Source organism: Homo sapiens, chromosome 1 (genome assembly GCF_000001405.40).
Source record: "Homo sapiens chromosome 1, GRCh38.p14 Primary Assembly".
Taxonomy (NCBI): Eukaryota; Metazoa; Chordata; class Mammalia; order Primates; family Hominidae; genus Homo; species Homo sapiens.
In genome coordinates this window covers 242,346,334-242,359,754 of record NC_000001.11, presented here as the reverse complement: position 1 = coordinate 242,359,754, position 13,421 = coordinate 242,346,334, and the positions used below count along the sequence as shown (strand labels likewise).

Genomic DNA, 13,421 nt, shown 5'->3' with positions numbered 1-13,421 from the left:
ATAATAACCCTATGAAAGAGTTATTAATAAATCCCCATTTTACAGACAAGGAACCTGAAGCACATGGCTAAATAACTTGCTAAGAGCATACATCCAATAAATGGCAGAATCCAAGCAACCTTATTTTGCAGCCTGAGCCCACAAACAGTTCACTGTGGTGTTTCTTGAAAGTAAAATTAGTGGAGTGACAACAGCGAATTGGCCCCAGTCTTCACTCCCTCCAACAGAAAGATTAACTAGCAACTATCCACAGACAAAAATATGTTATTGAAACTCCACAGTGTAGGAATAAGCCTGAGTCAATGCTTTTCTTCATTTCCATGGAACTAAATAAAATTCCCCATTGAAAGCTGAAAGAAACAGTCTTGCTTTGACCATGTCATCCTTCCCTCTTCCTCAAGTTGCCACAGCACCACACAGGATTCCCCAGGGCTCATGGTTTCTACAGTCAAAAAAGAGAGGTGAGGAGGTAGACATCTAACTTCTCTGACACTTCCCAGGAAGCCTACTTCACTCCCACCTCACAGGAAACAGGAAACAGGAGGATATGGCACAGCCAGATCACCTGGGGTCACAACGAAACAAAGCAAGGAGGGTAAAACCCACGGAGACCAGTGGGTAGATCTTGATGAAAGCTCAGTGTACCTGCCAGCAGTACCGTGATCAGAGATATCAGGTAATAGCATAGGTCACCTGCAAAGTCAAGCTGGTCACTCCCAGAAGAGGTGGGAAGGACTACTAGGCTTGAATCCCTCGATAGCCAGCCTCCATGTCTAGCTTTTGACCCTACCCCTGGGAGCTCCTCAGGGAATGAGAAAACCCTTTCCCTACCCACTGGTGGTGAATTTCCACAACAAGTAGACACTAGATCTGCCATAAACTGAAGCTTAATGTTTCACACAGCCCCAAAGCCTATCCCCTAGACCCTACATAGTGAGAAAGACAATCACTGCAGCAAATTTTGACAATAAGCAGGTATTAGTTTTGCCACAATCAGGAATATAATATACTGAGTATAGCGTTTGGTCCATTCATCACAATCCAATTAACTTTAGGGTCCCTTCTGCAACTTTGTCCAACTGATGAGTCCAGATAGCAGTATATTCCAGCTGGAGAATATACTCTGTAGCCCAGCCAGATCAGAAGTGACTTTGGTGCCCACACAGAAGCTCAGCCTCATAGCAGGGCTTAGCTGGTGGTCTTGCTGGATAGCAGAGCATAGCCAGCTGTTCCACCCAAATTCAGAGAAAAGGCAGTGACCCAGACATCTAGAGAACCTGAATGCAAGCTCTGCCTGCCCAGATTCATTACCAGCTGGCCCATTCAGAATTATAGCATAGACTAACTAGTGAAGGTCTATCTCTGCCAAAGAACTCTTATAAATGCCAGAAAAGGTGGCTTTCTCTGAAAATGCATAAACAGCAATGCAGGAACACAAAGATTACACAGATTTGAGAAATCATGACACCTCCAAAAGAAACTAACAAAACTCCAACAATGGACACTAAAGAAAGGGAAATTTATGAAATGACAAAAAAATTTAGAATAATCCTCTTAACAAAGTTAAGTGAACTTCAAAAACATACAGATAAAAATTAAATAAAATGTGTAAAACATTACATGAACAATATGAGAAGTTTGACAAAGAAATAGAAACAATTAAAAAATACCCAAATAGAAATCCTAGAGATGAAGAATACAATGCTTGAACTGAAAAATGCAATAAAGACTTCAACAGTCTGCTTGATCAAACTGAAGAAAGAATGAATGAACTCGAAGACAGTACTTATGAAATTTCCCAATCAAAGGAGCAAAAGGAAAAAAAGAAAAAGAATAAAGTATGACCGTGGGAATTATGGGACACCACTGAGGCCTAACCTGTGCATAATACACATTTCACAAGGAGAAGACACAGTAAAAGGGCCAGAAAACATATTGAAAGAAATATTGGATCAAAAAGTCATTAATGGCCAGGCACAGTGGCTCATGTCTGTAATCCCAGCACTTTGGGAGACCAAGGCAGATGAATCACCTGAGGTTAGGAGTTTGAGACCAGCCTGGCCAACATGGTGAAACCCTGTCCCTACTACAAATACAAAAAATTAGCCAGGTGTGGTGGCGGGCACCTGTAATCCCAGCTACTCGGGAGGCTGAGGCAGAAGAATCGCTTGAACCTGGGAGGCGGAGGTTGCAGTGAGCCAAGATAATGCCATTGCACTCCAGCCTGGGCAACAAGAGCAAAATTCCGTCTCAAAAAAAAAAAAAGAAAAAATGTCATTAATTGAGGAAAGAAACCAACAGCTAGGTACAGAAAATGTAGAGGTCATCAACTAAGTTCAACCCAAAAAGGAGTTCACCAAGACATATAATAATCAAACTATCAAAAATCAAAAACAAAAAATTTCTGAGAGCAGCAAGAGACAAGCAATATATTACCTACAAAGAAGTCTCAATACAATCATCGGTAGACTTCTCAGCAGAAACTCTCTAGGCCAGTGGGATAGTATTTTCAAAGTGCTGAATGAAAAAAAAACAAAAAACAACCCTGCCAACCAAGAATGCTCTAACCACCAAAGCTTTCAGAAATGAGAGAAATAAAAGCTTTCCCAGGCAAATAAAAGCTAAGAAAATTCATCATTATTAGGTCTCTCTTACAGGAATTACTAAAAGAAATTCTTTAAGCTAAAAAAAAAAATGCTTCTAACTAGTAACATAACATTTAGAAAAGCACAAAACCTAATGGTATACATAATAAATAGCAATATTCAGAATACCCTAGGACTGTAATCATGGTATGTAACATAATTTTATCCCTAGTGTAATGGTTAAAGGATGGAATTATTAATAACAACTATAGCTAAAATAAATTGTCAGGAGATATATATTATAAAATGTTAATTTGGACATCAAAAGCATAAAATTTGGAAGAGGGGAGTAAAAGTGCAGAATTGTTACATGTAATCAAAGTTAAGCTGTTATCAGTTTGAAGTAGACTGTTATAAGTGTAAGATATTCTAGGAAAGTCTCATGGTAACCAAAAAGTGAAAAAACATTCAAAACATACCACTAAGGAAACCATACACCATAGCAAACTATAAAGGAAAACAACAAGACAGGAAGAAAGAAAGAAAGTAACTACAAAACAACCAGAAAACAACAAAATGGCAATAGTAAATCTTTATGCAACAGTAACCTTGAATGAAAAGAGATTAAATTCTCTAATCAAAAGACATAGAGTGATGAATGAACTAAAAAAATGAGACCCAAGTACATACTGCCTACACACTTCACTTTTCAAAGAACACAGAGATTGAACATTAAAGGATGGAAAAAGATATTCCACACAAAAGGAAACCAAATGAGAACAGGGGTAGTGATAGCTACATTAGAGAAAATAGACTTTAAGTCAAAAAGTATTTTAAAAAGACAAAGAAGGGCATTATATAATGATAAAGGGGTCAATTTATCAATAGGATATAACAATTATATATGCACCTAACAGTGTAGCACCTGAATCTATAAAGGAAATATTAAAGTATCTGAAGGGAAAGGTATATTTCAATACAATGTAAGTAGAGGATTTAATAATCACTTTCAATATTGGATAGACATAAAATCAATAAGAAAACAGTGGACTTGAGCAACATTTCAGACTAACTGGACCTGGCAGACATGTACAAAACATACCAAACCAACAACAACCAAATACACATTCTTGTCAAGAGCACACAGAACATTTTCCAGAATAAACCATATATTAGGTCACAAGGCAAGTCTAAGCAAATTTAAGAAGATTGAAATCATATCTGGTATTTTTTTCTGATCACAATGGGTTAAGACTAAAAATCTGTAACAGTAAGACTTTCAGAAAACTCAATGAAATTAAACATGCTCCTGAATAGCCAGTTGATCAGTGAATAAAAGGGAAATTAAAAAATGTCTTGAGACAAATGAAAATGGAAACACAACATACCAAAATTTAGGAATGCAGCAAGAGAAGTTCTGAGGGGTGAGTCTGTAGCAATAAGTGCCTATATCAAAAAGAAAAAATATTTCAAATAAATAATGTTACACCTTAAGAAAACATAAAAAGAACAAACTAAGCCCAATGTTAGCAAAAGAAAATAAATAAGAATTATCACAGAAATAAATGAAATAGAAACCAGAAAAATGATTTAAAAAATCAATAAAACTATAAAACTAAGAGTGGTTATTTGAAAAATTAAACAAATTTGACAAACCTTTAGCTGGACTAAGAAGAAAAGACTCAAATAAAATCAAAAATAAAAGTGGAGACATTACAACTGATAACTACAGAAACACAATCATAAGAAACTATTATGAACTATTATATGCCAACAAATTGGATGACCTAGAATAAATAAATTTCTAGACACATACAACCTATCAAGACTGAATGACAAAGAAATACAAAATCTGAGCAGATGAATAACAAGTGAGGAGATTGAACCAGTAATGAAAAGTCTCTCATCAAGAAAAGCCCAAGGCCTGTTGGCTTCGCTGCTGAATGCTGCCAAACATTTAAAGAACTATTACCAATTCCCCACTGACTTTTCTAAAAAAATCACAGAGGAAAGAATACTTCCAAAGTCTTTTTACAAAGTCAGCATTACCCCTATACTAAAGCCAGACAAGGACATCACAAGTAAAGAAAACTACAGGCCAATATCCTTGATAAATATAGATGCAAATATCCTCAACAAAATACTCACAAATAAAATTCAACAACACATGAAAAGGATCATTTACCATGATCAAATGGGATCTATCCCTGGGATGCAAGGATATATCCACATTGACAAATTATTAAATGTGATACACCACATTGACAGAAAAAATAAGTCATATGATCATCACATTAGATGCAGAAAGAAACACTTCACAAAATTTAACATCCTTTCATGGTAAAAAAAAAAACACTCAAATTGTATATAGGAGAAATGTACTTCATAATAAAGGCCATATATAATCTCACAGATAACATTATACTCAATGGTGAAAAATTAGAGCCCTTTCATCTAGATCCAGTATAAGACAAGGATGCCCATTCTCATCACTTCTATTCAACATAGTATTGGACGTCCTTGAAAGAAGAGTAAGTTAAGAGAAAGAAATAAAAGGCATCCAAATAGAAAAGGAAGAAGTGAAACTGTTGTTTGCTGATGACATGATCTTGTAGGACAGAAGACCCCAGATTGGGGCTTAGTCCAGGAGGGTTTTGGCTTCACCCAGGAAATAATTCAACAGCAAGCCAGTGGTGGTAGACAGCAATCATATTAAATGGTACTTCTCCTTGAAGAGCACGGCTGACTTATTGGCCACGTGCCCAGGGTTGGCATCACAAGGGATCTTGGCAACTTTATTTATACTCAGATAAATCTGCTTTCAATTATAGGAAAATTAAGGGGTGGATCAATGCAAATTCAGGGTGGATTATTTAGAACTCTCTAGGAAAAAGGCCATAACTTCCAGGTTGTTGGCAAAGTGGGTGGTAACTTCTGGGTCATTGTCATGGCATGTGTAAACTGTCATGGTGCTGGTGGGGAGTGTCTTATGCCTATGAGCAAGGAGGGCAGCTAGGGATCACTTTCATCATCATCTGCTGGTTCCTGCCAGTTTCTTCACTTTATCCTGTCTGGACCAGATCTTGTTTTGTGACCAGGAAGTAAGTCTTCCTGGTCTCTTACCTCAATCTTACATATAAGAAACTCTAAAGAATCCACCAAAAAAAAAAACTGTTAGAGTTTATCAACAAATTTAGTGAAGTTACAGGATATGAAATCAACATGGAAAAATTAGGATTTCTTTTCACTAACAACAAACTTTGGAAAAGAAATCGAGAGAATAATCCCATTTATAATAGTTATAAAAAATAAAATAGGAATAAATTTAATCAAGGAGGTGAAAGACTTTTACACCAAAAAGTATAAAACATTAATGAAAAAAATTGAAGACACAAATATATGGAAATAATTCTGGCTGGAATAATTAATATTGCAAGCCATGTATCTGATAGAGAATTAGTATTCAAAATACCTAAGGAACTCAACTCTATAGAAAGAAAACAATCTGATTAAGAAATATGCAAAGGACCTGAATAGATATTGTAAGAATTACACTATGCAAAGAAATTTACAGATTTATTGCAATTCTTATCAAAATCCCAATGTCATTTTTCAAAGATATAGAGAACACAGTCCTAAAATTCATATGGAACCATAAAAAACTCTTAATGGCCAAGGCAATCATTAGCAAAAGGAGCAAAGCCAGAGGCATCACACTACCTGATTTCAATCTGTACTGTACTACAAAACAGTAGTAATTAAAGCAACATAGTACTGGCAAAAAAGTAGACACATTGACCAATGGAACAGAAGAGAGAGCACAGAAATTAAACCACACATCTGTGGTCAATTGATTTTTGACAAAGGTGCTAAGAATATACAATGGAAAAAGAGCACTGTCTTCAATAAATGGTATTGGGAAAACTGGATATTCATATGCAAAAGAAATACACTGTATACACACTGTATACAAAAATCAACTCAAAATGGGTTAAAGAAACATAAAACCTGAAAGCGTGAAACTACTAAAACAGGGGAAGAGCTACATGACATTGGCCTGGATGATAACATTTTTACATTTCACCTCGAAAGCACAGGCAACAAAGGCAAAAATAAACACATGGGATTACATTCAAATAAAAAGCTTATTTAAAACAAAGGAATTAGCAGAGTGAAGACACAACCTAGGGATTAGGAGAAAATACTTGCAAACCATATACCTGATAGAAAACTAATATCCAAACTATACAAGAAACTCAACTCTATGGGAAGAAAAACTAGTAATCTGATTAAGAAATAAGTAAAGGGCTTTCGCAGATATTTCTTTAAAGACATACAAATGGGTAACAGATACATAAAAAATGTTCAGTATCACTAACCATTAGGGAGATGCCAATTAAAACCACAACAAGATATTACTTTACACCTGTTAGAGTGGCTATCATCAAAAGGACAAAAGACCAGCATTGGCAAGGTCTGGAGAAAAGGGAACTTATGCACTGTTGGAAGAAATGTAAATTAGTGTAGCCATTATAGAAAACTGTATGGAGATTCCTCAAAAAACTAAAAATAGATTTGCCATATGATCTAGCAGTCCTACCTTTGGGTATTTACCCAAAGATTTTAAATCGGTATGTTGAAAAGATGTCTGCACACCCATGTTTATTGCACCACTCTTCATAATAGCCAAGCTGTGGGATTAACCTAAGTGCCCATCAACAGATGAATGGAGTTTTGAAAATATGGAATGTATGTACAACGAAATAGTATTCAGCCTGAAAAAAGAAAGTTTGTAATTTGTACCAACATGGATAGAATTGGAGAACATATGCTAAGTGATAAGCCAAACACAGAAAGGCAGATTACCACATGTTCTCACTTATATGTGGAATATAAAACAATTGCAGTTATAGAAGTAGAGAGTAGAATGGTGGTTACCAGAGGCTGGTGGGTAGAGGGGATGAGGAGATGATAATCAAAGGGTACAAAGCCTAAGATTGGAGGAATAAGTCTGCTTCTTTTTTGAGATCTGTTGCATAGCATAGTGAATATAGATAATAATTGAGTACTGTACATTGTATCATTAAGAGAGTATAGCTCCAATGTTCTCATCATGAAAATGTCAAATATTTAAGGTGATGGACAGTTTTATAACTTATGATTCTACCGATATTGTAAAAAATCACTTTGTACCTTATAAAACTATAATTTGTCAAAATATAAACTTTTAAAAAAATTAGTGAGGAATAAGGGATGAATGAAAAATAAAATGGCAAGACGAATACACAATCTATTCTGCAAGTTTTATATAGTTGCTAAATGTGGCCCATGAATTTGCCTGTAGCACCAGCAGAAAGTAAAAAAGGATAAAATACAAAATTTATAATCACCAAAATATGTAATCAAGCCAGTTTTCAGAAAGGTCACAAATGAGTTTTGAGAGAAACATTTTTTGTGTCTCTGCATTCTCAGAAGGATGCTGTATTAGTCTGTTCTCATGCTGCTAATAAAGACATACCCGAGACTGGGTAATTTATAAAGGAAAGAGAGGTTTTATGGACTCACAGTTCCACATGACTGAGGACAATCATGGTGGAAAGTGAAGGAGGAGCAAAGGCACATCTTACATGGGGGCAGGCAAGAGAGTGTGTGCAGGGGGACTGCCCTTCATAAAACCATCAGATCTTGTGAGACTTACTCACTATCATGAGAACCGCATGGGAAAAACCGACCCCCATGATTCAATTACCTCCTGCCTCGTCCCTTCCATGACACATGGGGATTATGTGAACTACAATTCAAGATGAGATTTGGGTGGGGACACAGTCAAACCATATTATATGCCATTGTAATTTTCATTTTGTTCATTCACTATTTATACAATAATTATTTCTTGAACACCTTCTATTTGTTAGGGTTGTGCTGTTTGCTTGAGGATAGAAAGAATAAGGATAGAAAGAATAAAACAGGGCCGGGCGCGGTTGCTCATGCCTGTAATCCCGGCACTTTGGGAGACTGAGGTGGGTGGATCACCTGAAGTCAGGAGTTAGAGACTAGCCTGACCAACATGGAGAAACCCCATCTCTACTAAAAATATAAAATTAGCTGGTTGTAGTGGTGCAATGCCTGTAATCTCAGCTACTCAGGAGGCTGAGGCAGGCTGAGGCTTGAGCCTGGGAGGTAGAGGTTGCGGTGAGCGGTGATCACGCCATTGCACTCCAGCCTGGGCAACAAGATTGAAACTCTGTCTCAAAAGGAAAAAAAAAAAAAAAGAATAAAACAGAATCCATGTCTTACAGATAAGCAGGGTCTAGGGTAAAAGAATAATGGCTGTATCTTTCTTTGGCTTTCATCACTTCATGTTTGAGGGAGGAGTAAGAAAATATAATGACAGGCAGGAGTGGACTTGGATTGAGGTTGCAATAGGAGATGAGGCCTGAAGGAGGATTTGAAACAAAAATGAAGCACTCGTGTGGGCTGACAGTGCCTGGTCACAGAAACACCATTCATTCCTTTGACTTGACTACATCTCTTTCTAACTACAATCTGTCATTTAAGGATACCTCTCGATGACCTGGACTCTGAGTTTGGGAGTTTCCTTGGATTCTTAGGAAATCATGTGGCTTTGGTGATAAAGTGAAGCCGGGTGGTAAGAGGATGCAAAGTCAGCTGGTTTCAGAAAGGCTCTGAACTGTGTGTGTGTGTGTGTGTGTGTGTGTGTGTGTGTGTGTGTGTACGTGTGTATACATATATTTATCACTAACAGAGTGATGTATGCCTGGCTGCCTGACCAAAGATGACCCTTTCACCTCTGTAAATAACCCTTAAAAGCTGTACATAGACTTTTAAAATTGCTTTTCCTCCTTTCTCCATCCAGAATTTATCTAATTTATCTTGGTCTTTTTGGGCTACCATAACAAAATATCATAAACTCGGTAGCTTATATACAACAGAAACTTATTTCTCACAGTTTTGGAGGCTGGGAAATCCAAGATCAAGATGCTGGTAGATTTGGCATCTGGTGAGGGCCCATTTCCTTTTTCATCTATGGTGCCATCTTGCTGTATTCCCACATGATAGAAGGGGCAAGGGAGCTCTTTAAGGCCTTTTTTTTTCTTTTAGAGACAAAGTCTCACTATGATGCCCACACTGGAGTGTAGTGGCTATTCACAGGCACAGTCATAGTGCACTGCAGCCTCAAAACCCTGGAATCAAGCAGTCTTCCAACCCCAGCCTCCTTACTAGCTGGGACTATAGGTGCATGTCACCATGCCCATCTCTGAGACTCATTCATGAGGGCAAAACTCTGTCTTCGTGACCTAATCAGCTCCCAAAAGTCCCCATCTACTAATATCATCACCTTGGAGGTTAAGGTTTCAACATGTGAATTTTGGGTGTACACAAATATTCAGACTGTAGCAGTCAAAATGATTTGTCACAGTGGTCACAGCTCCTTCCCAGTTATCATGGCCCTGTCTTCTGCCACTTTTAGCCATGAGCCCCTAGAGAGAGAGATGGCTCAGATTATCATACTGGGGCCTAATGATATGTATGTGAGTGACTTTGACCACCTGGACATTCAGCTGGTATTTCTAAGTGAAAATCATATCAAGAGTTATGTTTATGTTCAGATTTTAAAATGAACAATGTCAGTTAAATAACACGTTGTAAACCAAAAATAAAATTCGAAACAACCCATCCATCTAAATGGAATCCTCTTCTCAGCTAGGCATATTCCGAAGGTAACCTGAAAAACTAGTTCAGGCCATGATGAGAAGTGGGAGCTGGACTTGCCTAATTTGTGCCCTCCTCCCTTTTGGAATTGCTGATAGAACAGACTCTAAGTCTGATAAGAAACATTTACAATCTATTCTCTCTGAAGCCCGCTACCTAGAAGCGTCATCTGCGTGATAAATCCTTGGTCTCTACAACCCCTTATAGTAACTCAGACATTCCTTGCTTTTGATAATAACTCTTTCAACCAATTGCCAATCAGAAAATCTTTGACTCCACCTATGACCTGGAAGCCCCCACTTCCAGCTGTCCTGCCTTTCAGGACTGAACAAATGTACATTTTACATGTATTGACTGATGTTTTTTGTTTGTTTGTTTGTTTGAGATGGAGTCTCGCTCTGTCACCCAGGCTGGAGTGCAGTGGTGCGATCTTGGCTCACTGCAAGCTCCGCCTCCCAGGTTCAAGCCATTCTCCTGCCTCAGCCTCCAGAGTAGCTGGGATTACAGGCGCCTGCCACCACGCCCAGCTAATTTTTTGTATTTTTAGTAGAGACAGGGTTTCACCGTGTTAGCCAGGACGGTCTTGATCTCCTGACCTCATGATCTGCCCGCCTTGGCCTCCCAAAGTGCTAGGATTACAGGCATGAGCCACCGCGCCCGGCCTATTGATTGATGTTTTATGTCTCCCTAAAATGTATAAAACCAAGTTATGGCCCAACCACCTTGGGCACATGGTCTCAGGATCTCCTGAGGGTTCTGTCATGGGCCATTGGTCACTCACATTTGACTTAGAATAAATATCTTCAAATGTTTTACAGAGTCTGACTGTTTTTATTGACAGCATGATGCTAGCATATGTGTTTCATTTTTAATTTGAAACAATAGATATCTAGTGATCTTTTCTGGACTGCTTTTGAGTAGGAAGAAGAAGAAGAGCAAACTCATTCAGAAGCCTGGATACTACACTTGAATTATTTAACAGGGTCTATCACTTAGAGTGGGGTTTGAAGGCTGTGTTGAGAAATAAGCATAAAGATCTTTGGCATGTTCACTAGAGAATAGATTTCCCTTCTAGGCAGTGATAATCGTATCCCCACCCATTTTTCATGGAATGTTGAGAAGTTGTCACTTCTTGAGTTTCCCAAGAGAAAGCAGCACCACTTACTTTTCTTTGTCTTTGTTTCCTCTTTCAGTCCCAGCAGAAGTGCATCGTGATCTTTGCCCTGGTGTGCTGCTTTGCCATTCTGGTTGCACTGATCTTTTCAGCCGTGGACATCATGGGAGAGGATGAGGATGGACTCTCAGAAAAAAATTGCCAAAATAAATGTCGGTAAGAGGTAACAAACAAAAATTCTCTTTTAGGGGGCGGGCAAGAAATCCAAAGAGGGCCTTGAACAATGGAGAAGAGAATACATAAACACACGTAGTCATCCAGGCTCCCCTTAGCTTAAGCTGAGGTGTGAGTCTGTCCACTAGTACTCTTACTTTTAGGGCAAGTAATGAGTAATGATTGAATTCACTTTACAATCTGGTCATATTCTCTACAGGCTGGTGGGAACAAAAAAATTTTTCTAACAGTCAGCATTTCTGGAGACCACTGTATATGAGGTTTGTTTTGGGTGTTCATGATGAGCCTGTAAAAAGGAGTGCCCCAATGGACAAAGAACGCTGTGCTAGTTGTTCCATCAAATGTAAGTTAAAAAATACACGTCTCAGGGAAAATTCCAACTTAACGTTAGGGATTGAAGAAGTAAGTGTGTCGATGAGAAGACACAGGGCTCCTCGACCTGTCCCAGTTTAGCACACAGTTTGTTTTTAATCTAGAAACTACAATAGCTTTACAGGTTTATGTATGCATTATGTCTCTTCAGTTACATTAAGTAGCATTTCCTGGGGGCCTTGCTGACTGGCAGAGACATCACAGTGTAGTCTCAACCCCAGAAATCTCCTCATCAAACTCTTCTTTGAGCTGCTACCATTTTTTCAGGTTCGGGGAGGGTGAAGAAAAGTACCAAAAGCAGGCAGATAGATAAGAGGTCTATTTTTATATATGTATTGCTGCAAAGCTGAAGTGAGGCCACTAAATTACAACAGTAATTATGAATTAGAGCTTATAATAAATTTAAATTGTTATATTTCCCAGTGGAAAGCATTAGCCTAAGACCACCCCCCAACTTTCCTAGCTTAAAATAAACAACAACCTGGTAATGTGTATGTGAGTTTTATCCTGGATATTTTGCTTTGAGGTTGAATGTTCTGTTGCAGGAAATGTTCTGAAAAGACAATTGGCATTTATGTTTAACCCATGGTACCTTATAGTCTAGTTACCAGGCAACAGGTATTACATACAGAGCAAAGCATAAAAGAAAGAAATCAAAACACATTTTAGATTTTCTTCCTTCATGTTAGAAAGGTATTCCATAATATTATGTAGCCATAAAAAGGAACAAGATCACGTCCTTTGCAGGGACATGAATGGAATTGAAAGCCATTATCCTTAGCAAGCTAATGCAGGAGCAGAAAACCAAATACTGCATGTTCTGACTTATAAGTGGGAGCTAAATGATGAGAACACATGGACACATGGTGGGGAACAACACACCCTAGGGCCTGTTGGAGAGTCAGGGGTGGGAGGACGGAGAGCATCAGGAAGAATAGCTGATGGATGCTGGGCTTAATATTTACTTGGGTGATGGGATGATCTCTGCAGCAAACCACCATCACCCACATTTCCCTATGTAACAAACCTGCACATCCTGCACTTGTACCCCTGAACTTAAAAGCTGGAAATAAAAAAAGGTATTTCATAAATATATTTACTTCTCAGACTGGATTTGGATGAAAAATTGTTTTGTGATTACTGTAATGAAAGCAATGGAAGAACAGTAGATTACTGTCATCTTTTGCTAATGCTGTTACTTGTCAAATATACATAGACAAGGGGCCCATGACTCATATTTACAGAGTGAGAACACACTGCTTCTCTCTCTCCTCACCTTAAAGTGAAGAGTGCTGTGTATTTTAAATGCAAACTCGAACACCTAGAAGGCAATTTCATAGAGGTCAAACCGTAGCAGTTTCCTTAAGACAAAATACCTGCTC

At 38.1% G+C, this 13,421-nt stretch overlaps 1 protein-coding gene across 7 annotated transcripts in view; it reads left to right on the top strand.

Moving 5' to 3' along the window:
* The window catches only part of PLD5 (phospholipase D family member 5), a 447,561-nt gene that overhangs the window by 170,792 nt on the left and 263,348 nt on the right, over positions 1 to 13,421 (top strand). For 5 of the 7 annotated variants that reach the window (XM_011544115.3, XM_011544116.3, NM_001372062.1 and 2 more), the window contains one exon: positions 11,513 to 11,649. In XM_011544115.3, coding sequence (XP_011542417.1) covers positions 11,597 to 11,649 — 53 coding nt within the window. In that variant the 5' untranslated portion in view covers positions 11,513 to 11,596. Of the gene's footprint in view, positions 1 to 11,512; positions 11,657 to 13,421 lie in introns of all 7 variants that reach the window. The other 2 variants (NM_001320272.2, NM_001195812.2) reach the window with 1 other exon arrangement.